This window comes from Homo sapiens, chromosome 6 (genome assembly GCF_000001405.40).
Source record: "Homo sapiens chromosome 6, GRCh38.p14 Primary Assembly".
Classification (NCBI taxonomy): domain Eukaryota; kingdom Metazoa; phylum Chordata; class Mammalia; order Primates; family Hominidae; genus Homo; species Homo sapiens.
This window is the reverse complement of record NC_000006.12, coordinates 111078737-111100449: the sequence shown is the minus strand read 5'-3', so window position 1 is coordinate 111100449 and position 21713 is coordinate 111078737. Positions and strand designations below refer to the sequence as shown.

At 42.2% G+C, this 21713-nt stretch overlaps 1 protein-coding gene and 1 pseudogene across 4 annotated transcripts in view, besides 3 other annotated features; one reads left to right on the top strand and one right to left on the bottom strand.

Moving 5' to 3' along the window:
• The window catches only part of SLC16A10 (solute carrier family 16 member 10), a 143692-nt gene extending 130745 nt beyond the window's left edge, over positions 1 to 12947 (bottom strand). For all 4 annotated transcript variants that reach the window (NM_018593.5, XM_047418167.1, XM_011535422.3 and 1 more), the window contains exon 1: positions 12355 to 12947. In NM_018593.5, the coding sequence (NP_061063.2) occupies positions 12355 to 12697 (343 nt within the window). In that variant the 5' untranslated portion in view covers positions 12698 to 12947. The remainder of the gene's footprint in view (positions 1 to 12354) is intronic.
• Positions 9118 to 9237, top strand: RNU6-960P (RNA, U6 small nuclear 960, pseudogene; annotated as a pseudogene).
• Positions 12064 to 12564: an enhancer, noted in NCBI's record as "H3K27ac hESC enhancer chr6:111409089-111409589 (GRCh37/hg19 assembly coordinates)". NCBI's record gives its function as "activates a minimal SCP1, AML or CMV promoter by ChIP-STARR-seq in primed H9 embryonic stem cells {active_cell/tissue: H9 hESC(primed)}" and the evidence as "EXISTENCE:reporter gene assay evidence [ECO:0000049][PMID:30033119]".
• Positions 12377 to 12556: a silencer, noted in NCBI's record as "silent region_17474". NCBI's record gives its function as "represses an Ori minimal core promoter by ATAC-STARR-seq in GM12878 lymphoblastoid cells {active_cell/tissue: GM12878}" and the evidence as "EXISTENCE:reporter gene assay evidence [ECO:0000049][PMID:35858748]".
• Positions 12587 to 13266: a silencer, noted in NCBI's record as "silent region_17473". NCBI's record gives its function as "represses an Ori minimal core promoter by ATAC-STARR-seq in GM12878 lymphoblastoid cells {active_cell/tissue: GM12878}" and the evidence as "EXISTENCE:reporter gene assay evidence [ECO:0000049][PMID:35858748]".

Below are 21713 nucleotides of genomic sequence, written 5' to 3'. Positions count from 1 at the left end.
ACCACTGCACTCCAGCCTGGTGACAAAGCGAGACTCCACCTCAAAAAAAAAGACAACTGTAGATAAACCAAATCCAAATCCCCAAATAATTACAAATTCAAAACCAATAAAACCAAATGTATTACAATTTATTTTTATTTAAATTCAAGTAGACATCCATAGATAATTTCACAACATTTCTTCAGAAAGTTCAGGCTTCAGATCTATTGAGCATCATTTACAGACACCCGTGTATTGAAAGAAGTAATAAACTCTCATGTTTTATAAAGAATCTTCCAGGTGACCCATAAATAGACTAATCTAAAGTTTAAATCATTAGGAAGTATTACTTTAAATGTAGTAGTTTAAATGAACATTTGAAACATAATCTTTTCCTTCCCCTGCTTTGTCTATGCTGAAAAAAAATAACCTTTTTTTTTTTTTTTTTTGAGACAGGGTCTTGCTCTGCTGCCCAGGCTGGCGGGCAGTGGAGCAATCTTGGCTCATTGCACCCTTGACCTCTAGAGCTAGGTGATCCTCCCACCTCAGCCTTTTGAGTAGCTGGGACTACAGGTGCCTGCCACCACGTCCAGCTAATTTTTGCATTTTTCGTAGAGATGGGGTTTCACCATGTTGCCCAGGCTGCTCTAGAACTTCTGGGCTCAAGCAATTCATCTGCCTCAGCCTCCCAAAGTGATGGGATTACAGGCATGAGCCATTCTGCCCAGCCTTAATCATTTTTAATGCAGGTAAAAACCCTCTGAGATTCTGGCCAGCAACAAAATGTGGAAAAAATAGCCTATTTGCCCTCCCCTCTCCATACAAAATAGGATTTTTAGATTAGAAATTATTTATCAGCTGAACATGGTGGCTCACATCTATAATCCCAACACTCTGGGAGGCCAAGGCAGGAGGATTGCTTGAGCCCAGGAGTTCAAGACCAACCTGGGCAACGTGGTGAGACCCCATCTCTACAAAAAAACTTTAAAAATTAGCCAGGTGTAGTGGCACATGCCTGTGGTCCCAGCTACTCGGGAGGCTGAGGCAAGAAAATCGCTTGAGCCCAGGTCAAGGCTGCAGTGAGCTGTGTTCATACCCCTACGCTTCAGCCTGGGCAGCAGAGCAGGACCCAGTCTCAAAAATAAATAAATACATACATACAAATTATTTATCAACTCTGGATTTAATGTTTCCTATATAATTATGCATAAAAATACAAATATAAGTCTATTATCTCCTCTGACCCTTCTTTATGCCTCACCAGCTCCCCTGCCCCTGCAAAAAATGAACAAGAACTTAATGTGTAGTCACTGGCTGAGGCTCAGGTGTTACCACTACATTATAGAGCTCTTAACATTGTGCATCTGATATTAAACATTTGTTTTGAACCAATATCAAAATATGGCCAAAGAATCTGATCTTATTAAAAATCAGATCCTTTTTTCAGTTTAAGCCTATTCCACAGTAACATTTTTCTCTGAGAAGAAGGAGACAAAACATAACACCTACAACTAAAACTCCATACATTTATCATTTATTCCTAAAAAACAACTTACTCTTAAGGGAAGTGTACTTACAGTCAATAACTACATGGCTGGGGTCCTCCTGTCAAAGTTTGAGTGCTACGTTACTACAGGACAACAATGACAACTTCCTGCCCCATTCACACTAAAACATCAATTAACTTTGTGGAATGTCGTTGTTTAAACAACCACTGACAAATGTGAACCCTTTGAGATGCTGCTTTGAAGTTGCAACATAAAGTCAAAACTAATAAAAAGGATAATTAAGATGAAAAGGTTTTTATTAATAAAAACAGTCTCCAGACTAACCTACTTGACTTGGCATTAATACTTATCTACACAGAAAAGTCAATAAATATCACCATTTAATGAACAGGTAGTTTTCTATTTTTGTAATATTAAAACACATCTCAAAATTGGTCTTGGATCCAATCTAAATGAAACACAAATATAAATTTTGGCTTTCTGAACACAGGCAGAACACTGCTGATACAATTTACTCTTTTTAAAAATTTTACTACACTTTTTAATGTTAATTTTATTTTAATTAAAAGTAGAGATGGGGTCTCACTATGTTGCCCAGGCTGTTCTTGAACTCCTGGACTCAAGCGATCCTTCCACCTAGGGTTTTCTTTTTTTTTGAGACTGAGTTTCACTCTTGTTGCCCAGGCTGGAGTACAATGGCATGATCTTGGCTCATTGCAACCTCCAACTCGCGGGTTCAAGCGATTCTCCTACCTCAGCTTCCCCAGTAGCTGAGATTACAGGCATGCGCCACCATGCCCGGCTAATTTAGTATTTTTAGTAGAGACAGGGTTTCTCCATGTTGGTCAGGCTGGTCTCTAACTCCGGACCTCAAGTGATCCGCCCACCTCGGCCTCCCAAAGTGCTAAGATTTACAGGCATGAGCCACGGCACCCGGCCTCCATCAGGTTTTCAAAGTGCTGGGATTACAGGTATGAGCCACCCCGCCCAGCTGCAATTTAATCTTTAGCAAAAAATAGGTACTAGCTGAACTGTAGACCAATGCACCTTTCCGTAGGTGCAATGGACTTTTATCCATTAATTTAATCATTGACCTTTCATTTAGACTTAACTATCTAAAGGATACCTTTAATTGAATTTAAAACTCCTTAGTGAGTGATTCTTAAGTGGAGGCACTGGAGGAGGAAAGCGGCACAGCTCCCCTCACTCACTAAGAGGCATAGATCAGAAGTTCTAGAGGGGTACATTTACTAATTTTTTTAAAGCACACATTCAATATTATAATTCTGTATTTAAAGAACAAGAAAATAATTCTAATTATATCCACAACATAACTAAAAGTAAAGCTTGGCCGGGCATGGTGGCTCATGCCTGTAATCCCAGCACTTTGGGAGACTGAGGCGGGTGGGTCACCTGAGATTAGGAGTTCGAGACCAGCCTGACCAACATGGCGAAACCCTACCTCTACTAAAAATACAAAAAAATTAGCCAGGCATGGTGGTGCGTGCCTGTAGTCCCAGCTGCTCTGGAGGCTGGGACACGAAAATCGCTTGAACCCAGGCATCGGAGGTTGCAGTGAGCCGAGATCACGCCACTGCACTCCAGCCTGGGCGACAGAGCAAGACTCTGTCTCCAAAAAAAAATACAAATAAAAATTTAAAAAATAAAAGTAAAGCTTGACAAAATTTTGGCTGATGGATAAATACAGAGTATGACATTGTCTTCTGCCACTCACAAGGAAAGGCAAACTACACTTGGATGTGTGCAACAAAATTCTGAAGTACCATGAGACTTTTATGTTTATCAAGAGGGGACAAAGGGAGTTACAAACACTGTTTTGGGGCCAGGCACAGTGGCTCAAACCTGTAATCCCAACACTCTGGGAGCCTGAGGTTGGAGGATCACTTGAGCTCAGGCATTTGAAACCAGCTTGGGCAATATAGAGAGACCCTCCCCCACAAAAAAATTTTTAAAAATTAGCCAGGTGTGGTGGTATGTGCCTGTAATCCCAGCTGTTCAGGAGGTTGGGGCAGGAGGATCCCTTGAGCCCAAGAGGTTGAGGTTATGGTGAGCCATCACATCACTGACTGCACTCCAGTCTGAGCAAGAGAGCAAGACCCTGTCTCTTAACAAAAAAAAGAAAAGAAAGAAAGAAAGAAAAAAGATTCACTGCTTTGGTCCACAAAGGAAACATTGCTTTGGTCCACATTCAGTATTTCTAATCTGTATTTCATACTTATGCCCATAATTAAAAATTAGTGAAATGAAAAAAGACTTCTTACTTGAAAATAAGGCAAGCCATTTCTTCATCGACTTTTTTTTAGTTCCTATATGCAAGGTGAGGAATTACTTTTGCTGTTAAAGAAGGCACTTTAACAAAGAGGTATGATCATACACATTTGGCATGTACATTTGAAAGCACTGCTTTCCTCCATTCCTCCAGCCACTGATAGGCTATCTGTCTTATGTGGTGGGTCTGCGCAGTTCCCAGGTGTGCTGGAGTTTCCTGTTCTGAATCTCTGCCAATAAAAACATCCACAGTCCCTGCGTGGGTGGCACCAGGCCAAGGCAGGTGCTCAGAACTGTGGTGAGCTGACTGTTCATGTTATGTTTAGGGTTTAGCTTGTTTTTGTTAAGGTTTGCTTGTTTAATTTGAATATAAGACCAGATTTCTAGCTAGGCGGTGATAACTCTGGAATTCTTTTCCAAAAATGACATCACAGCATTTCTGATGACTTGAGTAGGAGACACTATTGAGAGAATATTCTAAAGAACATGCAAGTAAATATGTAGTAAATAGTTTCAGGCTGGGGACAGGAGTAGGATTCTACTTTCAGGACAACTTTGACATAAGTACAACTTTTTTCCAGCCAAAAAGCTGCTCTTAAGTTCAACTTAATAAAAGTAAATACTGATATCAATCCTAATACTGTGCAAGTTGCAACTTTCTTATCTATCCATGGAGGTAATGACATACCACAAGGCTACTCTAAAAAATAATGTACATGAAAGCCTTTTCTTTATGGTAATGGAATGTATTACTCCATTTTCATAGTGTTATGAAGAAATATCTGAGGCTGGGTAATTTATAAAGAAAAAGAGGTTTAATGGACTCACAGTTCCACATGGCTAGGGAGGCCTCACAATCATGGTGGAAGGTGAAAGAGGAGCAAAGGCATGTCTTACATGGCAACAGGCAACAGAAAGTGTGCAGGGGAACTGCCCTTTATAAACCATCAGATCTCATGAGACTTATTAACTATCACAAGAACAGCACAGGAAAACCTGCCCCCATGATTCAATTACCTCCCACCAGGTAATTACCTCCCTCCCATGACAAGTGTGGATTATGGGAGCTACAATTCAAGATGAGATTTGGGTGGGAACACAGCCAAACCATATCAGAGAATATAAAAATTACCACTTTAACAAATATGGATCATCTTTAAAATGGCTTTCACGGAATGCTTTATTAGAATAGGTTGAAATCAGGTTCTCTGTCTACCACTTTAAACATAATTTGTAACTTATTTGAATTCGTTCTCAAAACTCCAAAATGTAGCTACCCCCAATATTCCAAGTGCATCAAATACATAACAATTGCATAAAATCACTGTTTGTGTCCCAGGATTGTGACATAAGAATAAAATGGCCAACCATTTCATCAGAATCTCACAAGGACCAACCATCGCACTGAAGACAGGAGTGGCACACACAAAGGTACAGAGGCAAAAAGCAGCAAGACAAATTTGGGCCAGTGTAACACCTACAGGTTGGCTAGAACACAAAGACCAGTAAGGGAGAGAAGCAGGGGCAAGGCTAGAGGGCCAGGCAAGGGCCAGAGCTTGCAGGCCTTCGGAGTAGGGAGTTTGACATTTTCCTAAAAGTAATGAGTGTCACTGGGCATTTAAACAGAAAAATCATATGGTCCAATCTTTTAGAAAAATCACTCAGATGTACAACTGAGGACAAGCAATCCTGTTAAGGGGTTATGACTAATTGTTGCCAATAGTAATGAAGGTGGCCAGGCACAGTAGGTCCCGCCTGTAGTCCCAACACTTTGGGAAGTTGAGGCAGGAGGGTCGCTTGAGGCCAGGAGTTCAAGACAAGGCTGAGCAAAATAGCAAGATGCCATCTCCACATAAAAATTTTTTTTAATTAGCCGGCCATGGTGGCATGTGCCTGGTGTTGCAGCTACTCAAAAAGCTGAGATAGGAGGATTGCTTGAGCTTAGAAGTTTGAGGCTGCAGTGAGCTATGATCATGCCACTGCACTCCAGCCTGGGGAACACAGTGAGGCCCTATCCCAAAAAATAAAATAAAAAGTAAATGAAGGCATGAATTAAGACACAGTAGTGAAAGAAAAGTGGGACTGATTTATGAGGCATTAAGAAGGTAAACACAAAAGAACTCTGATTTAACAAAACAGGTAAGGAAGGAAGAGAAATAAGAAGCTAAGATACATTCCAGGTTTCTGACTTAAACAACCAGAGGTATCATGCACAGAGAATTAAGAAGGAGGAATATGGATTCAGAAGAATGCCGACAAATGGGCTGTCATTTTTGGTAGTAAGGGAAGGTTGTATGGTGTAGCTGAAAAATGAGTTCATGTTAGTTTAGTATGATGTACCTGTGTACCCAAATGGAACTGTCCAGAAATAGTAAATAAGTCTTGAACACAGTGATGAGATTTGGAAATAACAGCCCCAAGACAGTGGATGGAAGAAAGCAGGAAAAGTGAAGCAAGTATATGGCCAGGGGCTGAGCCTCAAGGAACTGCAACAAAAAGATGTAGCAAATCACATCAAAAGCAGAGTACAATTTATTCTAAAAGACACCTCAAAATCGCTCCTGAAAAAATGTGTTATGCTTTTCATTTTGGCTAATTGGGTTCTTTCAGCAGTTAATTTTATTGAAATTATTAATTTTTAATTCCATGAAAAAACACCACAGGAATCTCACATTGTTGTATTTAATTAGAATTCACTATATATGCTATTCAGTCTCGCACTTAATCCAGAAACATTCTGGAAATGAAGTATGAAACGCCCATACCATACTCACTATTATTCCAAAATCCTAGAACCATTTTTATAATCTTCTCACTTATTTTAGCAGGTAGTTTAGATTGGTTTATTGCCATAAGTGAGTTCTCTTAGCTTTTCTACCTCTCTTCCAGTGTAAATAACAATCAGGTATTTTTCTTATAGTGAAAGATGTATAGGACCATGAACCAGATTATTTGTTCACTGTAACTAGCTCAACAAAGGACTGTTACTAAAAATTTTTCTAAGATACAGAAATGGCTAGTTATGCAGGCCGCTTTTCCTACTAAACAAAACAAAATCTCTTTAGCGTAAAGGCAAAACATAGCAGTTAATTTCTGAACTATAGCCAAAATTTCCTATAATCTAGGTGTCACATACAACAGTACAATGTGGATATCAGTATAACTGTAAATGTGAAAACTTGGTGTGGGGGGAACAATTTCTGAGGAAGCACTAACTGACCTGAAGTTTCAGAGGGGCTAGCAAGATACATGGAGAGGTGCTGCAAGATTCATTCATCCCTAAATGCTACTGAAAACCCTACTTTGTGACTGTAACCATCTAAAAAGAAATCTGTCTCCATACAGGGAGTGTAGAGTTGCGTTAAAGATTATAGCCAAAGAACCTCCCTTTCAGGACCTTTTTGATAATCTACTTCCAAACTACTTAATTTTTAATGTTTTGATTTACACTTTTTTTGTGTGTGAGACAAAGTTTCTCTCTTGTTGCCCAGGCTGGAGTGAAATGGCACAATCTCAAAACAAATAAAAAGCCCTAGGCTCTTCATTAGTTCCATGGGTTTTCCAGTATCTAGCAGAGTTAAAACAAAGTTGCTCTTTCTTTTTTCTTTTTTTCTTTTCTTTTTTTTTTTTTTGAGACGGAGTTTCACTCTTGTTGCCCATGCTGGAGTACAGTGGCGCCATCTTGGCTCACTACAACCTCTGCCTCCCAGGTTCAAGCAATTCTCCTGCCTCAGCCTCCCGAATAGCTGGGATTACACGCATCCGCCACCATGCCCAGCTAATTTTTTGTATTTTTAGTAGAAACGGGGTTTCACCATCTTGGCCAGGCTGGTCTCAATCTCCTGACCTCAGGTGATCCACCTGCCTTGGCCTCCCAAAGGGCTGGGATTACAGGCATGAGCCACTGCGCCCAGCCCAAAATTGCACTTTCTAAAGAAAAACAATGTTCCACTTAATTGTATTTCTTTGTATTCTTCCCCAGAGTGTCTGATTCCTCTCTACCTAGGCAAGAAGAATACACATGTGAACAGGTAAAAATTCAACTAAAAAGAGACAACTTGGCCAGGCGCGGTGGCTTATGCCTGTAATCCCAGCACTTTGGGAAGCCGAGGCAGGTGGATCACGAGGTCAGGAGTTTGAGACCAGCCTGGCCAATATGGTGAAACCCTGTCTCTACTAAAAATACAAAAATTAGCCAGGTGTGGTGGCAAGCGCAGGTAGTCCAGCTACTCGGAAGGCTGAGGCAGAATTGCTTGCATCCGGGAGGCAGTGGTTGCAGTGAGCCGAGATGGTGCCACTGCACTCCAGCCTGGGCGACAGAGTGAGAATCTGTCTCAAAAAAAAAAAAAAAAAAAAAACAACAAAAAAAGAGACAACTCAAGCTTAGCTTGCTCCCTCAGACAGAGCAGTATGTGTGAGACACTCCTCTGAGTGCCATGTCATTGGCAGCTGGGCACCATAATGGGACTGTGATGCCGTCAGCATTTTTCATTGGTTCTACTGCCCAACTTGGAGTTGGCTTACTTCCCCTTTCCAAAGTCTTAATTTCACCAAGTGAGATTTATAACCATAGAGAAAGAGGCGTCAAATGCCTTCCCCACCCCCAACCCCACCACCTGTTGAAATGACCTTAGAATTTCAGCCTTTTATAGTAAAACTGAGTCCTGTTATATTGAAAATCCTTCAGGGAAATATTCTATTACTTCTGGTCTGTTATTAATTTGTATCCCACAACAGATCCTAAGCTACTTTGAAACAGCTGACATTTTCTCTCTCAGTCATTATCTCCAGTCCCCAGGACAGAGCCCAAAACAAAGCGTGTTAGATAACTTGGTAAACATTTGTATAAAGAGAATTAACAGTAAGATGTGTAAACTCACTTACACCTTAGTGTGAATGAACTTCTTCAGGCCCTTTCCTGAGAAATTTTGGGTAGATTATCCATTGCGTGGGAAGAGTTAACAGAGCCCTGAAGAGAAGTGAGCCTAAGAAAGGCTCCTCCTCAGTTCTGCCTAGAAACATTGTCCTGCTGTGGATCAATCTAAAAGTTCTTCAAAGGAAACCCCAGACTTTTGCTTGAACGGCATATGGAAGTATCTTGTTCTTCTATGGAAGTCTCTCTACACTTCAGAAATATAGTTTGAGACATTAATAATTTGCAATTGTTTATTCACCACAAAGTAGGACCAAGAAACAGGGACCCTTCTTTCTAATCCCAGAATGCATGGTAGAGCACTCAACCAATCACTAACACTTAAATTAATCAACAACATAAAAAACATCGTATTTGCAGAATGTTATCTAGTCAATGCAATATGATGAATGATTAAAACCCAGCTCCTGGTGCTTGCTTCAGCAGCACTTTGAACAACAATCTACTAAAATTGGAATGACACAGAGAAGATTAGCGTGACCCCTGAACAAGGATGACATGCAAATTCATGAAGCATTCCATATTTTAAATAAATAAATAATTAAAATAAAAATCCCAGCTCTTAGAGTCAGATAAGCCTGGGGTTGAATTCTGGCTCCACTTCTTACTTAAACTCTGTAAGCCTGAGTTCCCATATCTGAAAAGAAAGATATTAACAAAGTCTATCAGAGAATCGTGGTAAGGTTTAAATAGGAACGCATCTAAAGTGCTTAGCCACAGGAAAGTACTCAAGAAATGCGCACCATCATTTGGAGACCTAGATTCCATTCCACCACCACCTCCCTGTATATCCTTAGGCTAGTCACTTGCTATAAAGAAGTAATGGAAACAAGGAGACAGAACTAGCTGTACTCTAACACCAGGATTATCCATCATGAGTACGGTAATAGAAAATAGACCAAAACTTTGAAAAATAAAAGGCTTAAACAAATTCCAGATATTTTTTGGCATGTATTTGAAGCTTGCATATGCTTGATCACAGACGACTCAGCATTCGAATATCAAAGTGAAAAAGTGTGACCAATCAAACTTCAAAGCAGATATTCTCAAATAACAGTGACTGTGGTAGATGAGGGACTTCATGAAACACCTTTGTGTGTGTGTGTGTGCACTGAAGGAAAGAGAAAGGGGTAGGGGACAGGGGAAGAGAGAGAGATCTCAACAATAACTGGCTTAAAGACTATCTTGTAACCATTTTTTCAGCACTAAGTTTAAATCTGTTTTCTTCCTCAGCCCTTAACATCTATCAGTCATATATGTATTACCTAGCACCCAAGTAATGGCCATTGTTCAATCTAGATGCTGTGTTATACAGGGCCATTACAAGTGCATAGGGCCCTTCTGTAGGAATCAGACAAAGGGCACCCAGAGCCCAGGCTGGTTTTCAGTCCCCACTTACCCCTGAGTTGGGCACCCTTGTGCAATGGCACAACCATAAATAGATATACAGCAGTCAGGCAGAGAAACACAAAGATCTTCACACATTTAACTAGCACACCTGTGCAACTGTTTATATGATATATACCCACACATACACAAACATGACTGAAAAAGTTGTCAAAGACTGAACTGAGTAAAAAGAAAAAAGATATTCATCAAAATGGAAAACACAAAGTTCCACAGAGTGCAAAAGAAAAACCAGGTTCCTTCCCTCACTCTCAGCTACCCAGTATTGGGATATTGTGTAGCCAATTAGAACTTTGGGGACAAGTAGTAGGTAGAGACTTTGACACTGCAAAATTCTCATCCCTGGCAAAGCTATGGTCTCTCTGGCAATTGCTCTCTCTCTCTCTCAAAAAAAAAAAAAAAAAAAAAAAAAAAAAAAAAAAAAACCCACCCACAGACACCAAAGGATCTACTTAACTGAATTTGCAAAAACAATGATAAACAAAAGACTGCTGTTATCTTGACTGCATTAAAAAATCTGTAATCCCAGGCAGGAATATGGTAAATGTTGGAACTAGTCTTTAAATGTTAACTCTGTCAATTCTGCCTTCTTTTGGGGCTTTTCTCTCTGACACCCAATACTCATATAGAAAAGACAACAAACTATTTTTGTTTGCTATTATATATGCATATCTCCCCTGCTAAACTTTACAATGATTACTTCCCTTAAATGGTAAGGATATGTTACTACATTTTTAACACTTTTTGTACCTAGCCCATTGACCCGCATACCACAGCAGTTTCAATAGCTATTTAAAGAACAGAAATTCCAGGTTAAAATGGTACCGTATTCACATGCATAACGAGAGTGTACAAGAATATTCATTGCAGCATTGTTTAGAATGAGTTTGGAAGCAATCTAAATGCCCATCAGAGGGAGAATGCATAGAGTATAATATAGTCAAACAATGCAAACCACCTAAGTTAAAATGGAAAGAATTTGAGTTATCAGTTCACACTGAGGTATTATGTGGATAAGTCACAAACATGATGCGGAATGGAAGAAAAGTAAGTTGCAGAATGATACAAATAGTTTAATAGTATTTATGTCAGGTTTTAAAACTCTCAGCATAACCCAGCATTACCTTTGTCTCAGAATTTATTACAGTCTTGCCCATTCCTCATATGCATACTAAAGACCTAAGAAATATTCACTCTAAAAATAATAGAAAATCAAGGTTAAAAAAAAAGACTATTAATCATATAAAGTTACCCCAAATGATGGGGAGGGAGGTTGATTTAGTAATGGAAATCACTTAGCCCTTGAAGTCAGTTGATATGTGTTTTATTGCCATTCTACTACCCACCAAGACACTTTCACTGAGCTACAGTTTTCTCACCCAAATGGGGTTGACCGCGCTCACCTTGCAGGATAAAGTGAAAGAATTTATGTTAAAGTGTCATGCAGAAGGTCTTAGATTTGTTTTTTGCCTAACCAGCCAAAAAGTCATAATAATGCTCTACAGGGAGAAAACGCTGAATCTGCACCTTTTGTATCTAATTTACTATATGGTTAAAAAAAAATGTCAAAAAACACAACAGGAAGAGGGAAGAAGCAACCCTTCACCTTCCTCATCCTAGTCCCTAATCCGGCTGCCTCCCGTGTTTTCTACATTTAACCCAGAGGGCAAAAAAAGGCGGGGGGACGGGAACGCACGGAACCGTGACTCTTGCAGGGCCCCCTTTGGAACTCCAGTGACCTTCGTACAAATCTCTTTCATTCCTCCAAACTCCACCCCCCGCCCCGCCAACATACGCACACCCCTCTGCGGCCCAGGGAGGCAGGTGAAGAACTACATAACTGGCATAGTCACGAAAGAGACCACAAAAATGACAGGGCGATGACTGGGGTTGAAGGTTCTGGGGTTCTGTTTGTTTTCAAACAATAAAAGGAAGGGCTCCTGTGGACTGTTAGCGTCTGCTCTGCTGAGGGGAAAGGAGGACGATCTCGGCAAGTAAGTTCTGCGACCTGCTTGCAAACACACAGCTCTGCAGCTGGATTCCATATAAAGACGGGCACCCCGAGGCCCCAGAAGCGGCAGGCTCTGTCTGCAACTCGAAAGACCCCCCTGCTCGCACCCTCTGGCACAGGGACCCACCGACATGCACACTCGGAGGCAGACACAGCCCACACGCGGGATGCGCTCGGGGGCCCCACGCGGGTCGCCCAGGCTGGCCTCGGCGGGCGCCGCGCCTCACCTGTCTTAAAGACCATCTTGTCATCGTCTTTGGAGCCGAAGGTTTCCAGCATGGACACGAAGAGCACCCCGCAAGCGTTCTGGATGCCGAACACCGACCCGTTGCACCACATGGCCGCCAGCATCACCAGCCAGCCCCAGCCGCCCTCGGGGGGTTCGGGGGGCTCATGGGGCTCCGCGGTCGCCGGCCCCGCCAGCTCCACCTCCACCTTCTCGACAGCCGCCTCGGGGCTGTCCGAGGGTCCCGGGCCGGGCGGCGGAGCGGCCCCCGTGGGCGCGGGGCCGAGCGGCTGCGCCTCGCTCGTGCCCCGCGCGGAGTCCGGCTCCTCCTGGGAGAGCACCATGGCCCGAGGCGGGCCCCTCAGGCGCCGGAGAAGCGCGAGGGACGCGAGTTACCAGCGGGCTCCCGGAGGAGCTGCGGGGCTCCTGGCGGGCTAACGAGGCCGAGGCGAGGGCGGCGGAGCCCCTGGCGGGCGGGCGGGCTGGCAGCGCGCAGGCGGCCAGCGCGCAGGCGGCCGCGAGGACAGCTGGCGCGCGCGAACACCTCGGGGATCGACACTGAAGCCTCTAGGTCACAGCCCCGCACCCCCGACTGAGCCCACTGCCAGCCGCCGGTTCTTAAAAGCACCCCCCGCCCCGCCGGCTGGGGGCGTGGCCGGGAGCGGGACGTGCCCCCACAGCCTCCAGATGATTGGGCCTCGGAGAGCGGAGGCGGGGCGCCCCGCGGCGCGCGGCCCCAGGTGCCCGCGGCAGACGCTGTCTGCGCGCGCGTCTGCGACGGGGCCTCCTCCTGCTCAGAGAGGGGCACAGATGTGTGGGTCACCCCGCCTCAAAGCATGAGCAGAAGGGGCGCGTCTCCTAGGTGCGGGCGCGGTGGGCCTTCAGGAGAGCCACACTGGATCGTTAGCCTCAACTCACCGACACAGCGTCACAGTCACACTAACATTGTCTCGATTGTGTTTGTTTTATGTTTTGGCATTCACCTCTCAGTACTAATTATAATATGTAAGATTCGTTATGCCACCTGGCTTCTTAAATAAGTCATCTGAAGGATCAGAGCCCTTATTTTATTACTTCAGTTCCATTCTCTTGCATTCGTATACAATTTCCTTATGAATATTTGGCACACCAAAGATGCTTATTTTCAGTCCTCACTGGACTGCAATTCCGAAGTCTTCAACCAACAAACATTTTTAACAGACAGCTAGAAAGCATTACTTTTCAACTACATCAGAGTCGTTTTCACTTTAAACAAAAACTAAAACCTGTATTCAACTCCTCTGTCTCCCTGAAGCATGGAGTGCCATCCTATGTAAAAGAAAAGAAGAGTAACCTGCTATGCAATATTGAGGATGCTTCTTAATTTCTGTTATTCGTATTCTTCACTTCAATCAAAGTCAAAATATGCTAGTTACTTGATGTGCCCACCACTGTGATAGAGTACACAGATGAGTGCGATTGATCTCGTTTCTGCCTCTTATCAGTTGATAAACTGGTAGGAAAAAAGAGTCCTGGGAGAGACTAGGAGGCTCAGATGATGTGTTATAATACATGTACAAAAGAGAGAGATGAGATAGTCCCTTAAATTCTCTCCAAACACTGTAGAAGAGCCTCTACAGCAAACAGCCTTTGGCCGAAGCCCTGATTCATACATACGACTTCAGTGGGTCAAGACAGGAAAAGAGCATTCCAGGTAGAGAAAATAGCATAAACTAAGGAAAGCAAGCCGTGCTTGGTTGTGGAATGGGGAACATAGCTCAAGTGTAATCTGCCTTAGAAATGAGGGTAAAATAGTAAACAAAGGAATAGGCACATAAGTGCACAAAAATGTATGTATGAAGATGATACCCCAGTATTGTTGGAAATAAGGAAAATTTGGAAGTATAATGTACATTGGTAGAAGACTGATTAGATACTTACTTTAAAACCTCTAAAAGTTCTGAAGGTCATCTGTATTTATTGACTTTGAAAGTTGTCCACAACATATTATTGGGCAAAGAAAGCACATCGATTATATATTTGCATGCACACAAACAAACACATATGTAAGAATTATCCACGAGTCAGTACTGATGTAAGTAAATGATTAAATAAATAATGAGGAGAGAATAGACAAATCTCTCCTGCAGGAAATGTAAATACTTTATGAACATACTCCCTCCCTCATGGAGGTGAAGTACAATGGTTTACTCTTTAAGTGTGGGTATGCGTAGTAACTTTCTTCCAAAGAGTATAGGATGGAAAGGGGGAGTGGGGGGAAGAAATAACTTTAGGGTGCAAAAAATGGCACACAGTACCTCAACTAGATGATAATGTATCCCCGATATGATGTGATGAAAATGGTACTTTACCTCTGTGGTCTTCCTGCCAAAACCCATAATCCCTGGCTAACCATCAGAAAAACATTAGACAAATCCCAATCAAGGACAGTCTACAAAATACCCATTAAGTACTTTCATTACTGTAAAAGTCATCAAAAACAAGGAAAGTCTGAGAAACTGTCACAGTAAAAAAGAGTCTAAGAGGGCTGGGTGTCGTGGCTCATGCTGGTAATCCCAGCACTTTGGGAGGCCGAGGCGGGCGGATCACTTGAGGTCAGGAGTTCGAGACCAGCCTGGCCAATATGGCGAAACCCCATCTCTACCAAAAATACAAAAATTAGCCAGGCATAGTGGCGTGGGCCTGTAATCCCAGATACTCAGGTGGCTGAGGCAGGAGAATCGCTTGAACCCAGAAGGCAGAGGTTGCAGTGAGCTGAGATCGCGCCACTGTACCCCAGCCTGGGTGACAGTGAGATTCCAACTCAAAAAAAAAAAAAAAAGCCTAAGAGACATGATAACTAAATGTAATGTGATATCCTGGATGGATACTGGAACAGAAAAAGGACATTAGATTAAAAGTAAAGAAATATGAACAAAATGTCGGCTTTAGTTAATAATAATGTATCAACATTGGGTCATTAATTGTAACAAATGAGGCAAGGTGTGGTGGCTCAAGCCTGTAATCCCAGCACTTTGGGAGGCTCAGGTGGGAGGATGGCTTGAGGCCAGGAATTCGAGATCAGCCTGAGCAACATTGCTGAGACCAGCAACCAGGCTGGTCTCGAACTCCTGGCCTCAAGCAACATAAGTAATAATCCATCTCTTTAAAAAAAGAGTGTTTACTTCTAACTACCAATAGGCTATTGAATGGAGCAGAGTTTTAGGTGTCCAGGAAAACTACCTTCTATTTCTATGTCCACACTAATCAACAACTCACATTGTGTTATTGGATTGACCTCATCTTCTCCACCTGAAAATATGAACCTGTTTACTTATAACTACAGCATAGTGACATAGTGATGGTATTTTTTTTTTTTCCTGAGATGGAGTCTCACTCTGTCACCAGGCTGGAGTACAGTGGCCCAATCTCGGCTCACTTCAACTTCCACCTCCCGGGTTCAAGCGATTCTCCTGCCTCAGCCTCCTGAGTAGCTGGGACTACAGGCGTGCACCACCACACCCAGCTAATTTTTGTATTTTTAGTAGAGATGGGGTTTTACCATGTTGGCCAGGGTGGTCTCGATCTCTTGACTTCGTAATCTGCCTGCCTTGGCCTCCCAAAGTGCTGGGATTACAGGCATGAGCCACCATGCTCAGCGCAGTGATGGTATGTTTTTAATGAGTTCCTATTTATTAAGTGCTTTGAGATCAGATAAAAAGATTTATAAAATTTTAAAAGGTGTAATAGTTCATTAAATCTAAATGCCAACAGTGCTTTATGTAGGCCTTTTCATCAGCAGTTTATGTTAAACTTATTTATTAAACAAAACAATCCACTTGATTCCTTATTCTATTTCAAAAGACCAACCTTTCCTATTTAGGACAGTCTTATTTATTTATTTTTATTTTGTTTTATTTTATTTTTGAGACAGAGTCTCGCTCTGTCACCCAGGCTGAAGTGCAGTGGTAAGATCTCGGTTCACTGCAACTCCACCTCCTAGGTTCAAGTGATTCTCCTGCCTCAGCCTCCCAGGATGGTCTTGATCTCCTGACCTCATGATCCGCCTGCCTCTGCCTCCCAAAGTGCTGGGATTACAGGTGTAAGCCACTGTGCCTGGCCCTTTTTTTTTTTTTTTTTTTTGAGACAGAGTCTCTCTCTGTCCCCGAGGCTGGAGGGCAGTGGCACAATCTCAGCTCACTGCAACCTCTGCCTCCTGAGTTCAAGTGATTCTCCTGCCTCAGCCTCCCAAGTAGCTGGGATTACAAGCACGTGCCACCACGCCCAGCTATTTTTTGTATTTTCAGTAGAGACAAGGTTTCACCATGTTGGGCCAAGCTGGTCTCGAACTCCTCATCTCAAGTGATTTGCCCACCTCAGCTTCCCACAGTGCTGAGATTACAGGCGTGAGCCACCACGCAGGGCCAAAAAATGCACTTTAAAAATGAGACTGAACTAATTCTCTCATCTCCACTTTTTTACCTCTCTTTCAGAAGTCCCCTCAACCTGATTCTCCTTTGGTATTACTCCTAATCCTCCCAAATCCAAGCTGAAACCTGGGTCTGCTTCCTAATATACTTCTCCCCTGGTTCTCTCAAACGCAATCCTGTCAACTCTAGCTCCAGAAGGTCTTTTGCCTGGTTCCCTACTCTCCATCCTTGCTGCTGATTCCTTAATGATTCCTTATCATTTCTCAAGGACCATCATAATGACCTACTAATTAGTCTTGCTGCCAACAAATTCTGCCTGCACCAATTCATCCTCTAACCTATACCTGCTGAAACTCTGTTCTGCAGTCTTAAGGCCTGCTCCTCATTTCAGGAACAAGTATGAACACCTCTATTCCTCCCTGCAGACCCTGCTTCTGAAATGACCACCTCTCCCCTTTTCCTAATGGTGAAATCTCACTCAATCTTCAAGGCTCCACTCTAAAATGGAATTCACTTCTCTGAAGCCTTTACTGATCCTTCCGCTAGGCTTCCATATTTTATTTATAGCAGTTTTTATGGTCAGTAGAATGGTTTTCAATCTCCTTGGCTAGTGTAGGAATTTTCAGACAGGTCAGATAGTCTTTCACAAATCTTTGAACCACAGCACCAAGTAGTGTTAGTGCACAACAAATATTTATTGAACCAAATTGAATAGAATTCAAAAATAATTTAAAGAACCACAAAGTGTGTAATTGAGAAGATTCCGTATTTTCAGGTGAAAACTTTTAAATATGTTTAAATCATGTGTTTCTTTTTTTAGTTGTAGAAGTAATACAGAGCCTGGCAAGGTGGCTCACATCTGTAATCCCAGCACTTTGGGAGGCTGAGGTGGGCAGATTATTTGAGGTCAGGAGTTTGAGACCAGCCTGGCTAACATGGTGAAACCCCATCTCTACTAAAAATACAAAAAATTAGCAGGCATGGTGGCATATGCTTGTAATCCCAGCTACTTGGGAGGCTGAGGCAGGAGAGTCCTTGAACCCGTGAGGTGGAGGTTGCAGTGAGCCAAGATCACGCCATTGCACTCCAGCCTGGGCTATAAGAGTGAAACTCAGTCTAAAAAAAAAAAAAAGGTCGGGTGCAGTGGCTCACGCATGTAATCCCAACACTTTGGGAGGCCGAGGTGGGTGGATCACCTGAGGTCAGGAGTTCGAGACCAGCCTGGCCAACATGGAGAAACCCCGTCTCTACTAAAAATGCAAAAATTAGCCAGGGGTGGTGGCGCACGCCTGTAGTCCCAGCTACTCAGGAGGCTGAGGCAGGAGAATCACCTGAATCTGGGAGGTGGAGGTTTCAGTGAGCCGAGGTCGTGCCGTTGCACTCCAGCCTGGGCAACAAGAACAAAACTCTGTCTCAAAAAAAAAAAAAAAAAAAAAAAAGAATACAGGCCTGGTATAGTGGTTCACACCTGTAATCCTAGCACTTTGGTTTGGGAGGCCAAGGTGGGAGGATTACTTGAGCCCAGGAGTTCTAGACCAACCTAGACAACATGGTGAGACCCTATCTCTACAGACAAAAAAAAAAAAAAAAAAGTAATACATGCTTGTTATAGCAAATACCATAAAAACAATAAAGTTTAAATCATTTATTATAGCCCAGGCATGGTGGCTCAACCCTGTAATCCCAGCACTTTGGGAGGCCAAGGCAGGTGGATAACTTGAGGCCAGGAGTTTGAGACCAGTCTGGCCAACATGTTGAAACCCTATCTCTACAAAAATTACAAAAATTATCTGGGTGTGGGGGCACACACCTGTAATCCCAGCTACTTGGGACGCTGAGGCATGAGAATCACTTGAAACCAGGAGGCAGAGGTTGCAGTGAGCCCAGATGGTGCCACTGCACTCCAGCCTGGGCAACACAGCGAGACTCTGTCTCAAAAAAATATATATATATATTTATTATAGAACCACTCAAATAACCCATTTTAACCTTAATATTTATTAATTATGCATGTATGAGAGATACCATATTTGTTTTGTATTTTTCCTGTAAAAATGGTATAGTATCACCAAAAAAAATTAAGCAACTCTTTTGATCCTTAATTAAAATTGTTGCATTCAAGATGATAAGTGAAACATGAAGAAGCCTGATAAGATTAGGATGCCCAGAGGACAACTAGAGTCATTTATACATAGGGGTTCTGCCACAGGCCTTCTCCAGAGGTTCTTATGTCTCAAATCTATACATCAGCAAACATACCTACCGATTATTATATATTATGAACCTTCAGGATTGCTCAAAAGCCATAGGTCTACTGTATTTTCTTCTAGTCTTTGTTTCTATGCATTTTTAAACAAAATGAGAATCATAGTTTAATGGACTTAATTGTGTCCCCATCCCCAAAATTCATATGTTGAAGCCCTAGCCCCCAGTGCCTCAGAATGTGACTGTACTTGGAGGTAGCACCTTCAAAGAGCTAATTAAATTAAAATGGGGTCATTATGGTGGACCCTAATCCAATATGACTGGAGTCCACATCAGAAGAGGGGATTGGAACCTAGAGAGTGACCAGGAAAAGGCCATGTGAGGACACGGGAAGGAAGACGTCTGCAAGCCAAGGAGAATGGCCTCAGGAGAAATCACACCTGCTGCTGATACCTTGATCTTGGACTTCCAGACTCCAGAAGTGTGAGAAAATATATTTCTGTTGTTTGAGCCTGGCACAGTGCCACGTGCCTGTAGTCCCAGCTACTCGGGAGGCAGGATGATCACTTGAGCCCAGGAGTCTGAGGCTGCAGTGTGCTATGACCACACCTGTGAATAGACACTGCACTCCAGTCTGGGCAACATTTCGAGACCCCCCCCATCTCTAAAAAAACAAACAACTTCTATTGTTTGAGTCACTAGGTCTGTGGTATTTCATTTTGGCAGCCCTATGAAACCAATGCAACATAAAAAAAATTAGCTGGGCATGGTGGTGCATGCCTGTAGACCCAGCTACTTGGAAACCTGAGGCAAGAGAATCACTTGAGCCTAGGAGGTCGAGGCTGCAGTGAGCCATGATCATACCGCTGCACTCCAGCCTGGGTGACAGAGTGAGACCCTGTCTCTTAAAAACAAAAACTAACACAGTACACATAATAAAGCACAATTTTGTATCCTGCATTTTTTTACTTATCACATCATAAATAATTTCCCCATGTTATCAAATATTCTTCAAAAGCAGGATGCAAATGGCTATAAAGCATTCTACTGTGGAGATGGACCATAATTTATTTAGTCACATCCCTATCATTGTACATGTAAGTTATTTCAGGTTTTCCACTATAATAAATAATACTGCAATAAACGTCTTTACACACAAATCTTTGTATCTCTAACAAGTTCTTAGAATAGAGTTCTAGATGTGAGATTACTGGTGAAAAGCAGTATTTTAAGGCTCCTAATACATTGCTAAATTTTAAAGAACTTTATCAATTCATACTACCACAAGTACTGTATCAAAATGCCCATGTTAGTGTACTCCAGGAATTTTTTTTTTTTTTTTTGAGACAGGGTCTCACTGTGTTGCTCAGTCTGGCATGCAGTGGCATGATCTCAACTCACTGCAACCTCTTCCCCCTGGGCTCAAGCTATCCTCCCACCTCAGCCTCCCAAGTAACTGGGGCCACAGGTGCACACCACCATGCCTGGCTTCTTTTTTTGTTGTTGTTAATTTATTTTTAGTAGAGATGAGGTCTCACCATGTTGCCCAGGCTGGTCTTGAACTCCTGAGCTCAAGCAATCTGTGCACCTCAGCCTCCCAAAGTGCTGGGATTACAGGCATGAGCCACTGCACCTAGCAGGAAATCTTGAATAATATAATTATTTTTAAATCTTTGCCAATTTAGGATAAAGATGAAATTTCATTGTTAGTTTCTTTTTCAAATCTTTGGTTATCAGTGAGAAAGATCATATTTATTGACCATCTGTATTTTCTTTTTTATAAATTGTTTCTTGGTGGTTGTTCTTCACATTTTCTAACAGAGAAATTGGCTTTTACTTAGTGATATTTATTAATATTTCTCCATGTAGATCCCATGCATTTCTTGTTAGGATTATGTCAGGCATTTCATTTTCTTGCTGCCAATGCTGTTGTCACTGCTTTTGGGAATGAATTTTTTTCCGTAAGAACTTCTAACTGGTTACTGCTAATGCAGTAAAAAGCAATTAAGTTTTTATATAGTTATCTGATCCCACCACTGTAGTATATTATATTTTTGAGAAATCTGGGGAAATTTAAATATAGTGCTTCAATTATCATTAAATGATAATTTTTCTTTTAGTCTGGCATTTGACAGTAAAGCCAGGTCTCCTAGGTTAAAATAACACAGCCTTAAAAAAATTTTTCTCTGGCAGCTAAGCTGTGAGGACTCAAAGGCATAAGAATGATATGATGGACTTGGGGGACTCCAGGGAAGGGTGGGAGGAGAGTGAGAGATAAAAGACTACCCATTGAGTACAGTGTACACTGCTTGGGTACACTGCACCAAAATCTCAGAAATCAAACTAAAGAACTTATCCATGTAACCAAAAACCACATGTTCTCCAAAAACTACTGGCATTTTTTAAAACTTTAAATTTTTTTCTCATTTTACAGTTTATGTTACATCTAAATCCTACATCTTAAATGAATACACTTTTTAAATTTTTATTTTGATGCAGCTACAAATGCCCAACCTATTTTATATTTCTAATGGAAAATAACTTCACCATTTCTTTTCTTTTTTATTTTTATTTTTATTTTTTTTGAGATCGAGTTTCGCTCTTGTTGCCCAGGCTGAAGCTCAATGGCACGATCTTGGCTCACCGCAACCTCCACTTCCCGAGTTCAAGCAATTCTCCTGCCTCAGTCTCCTGAGTAGTTGGGATTACAGGCATGTGCCATCGCGCCCGGCTAATTTTGTATTTT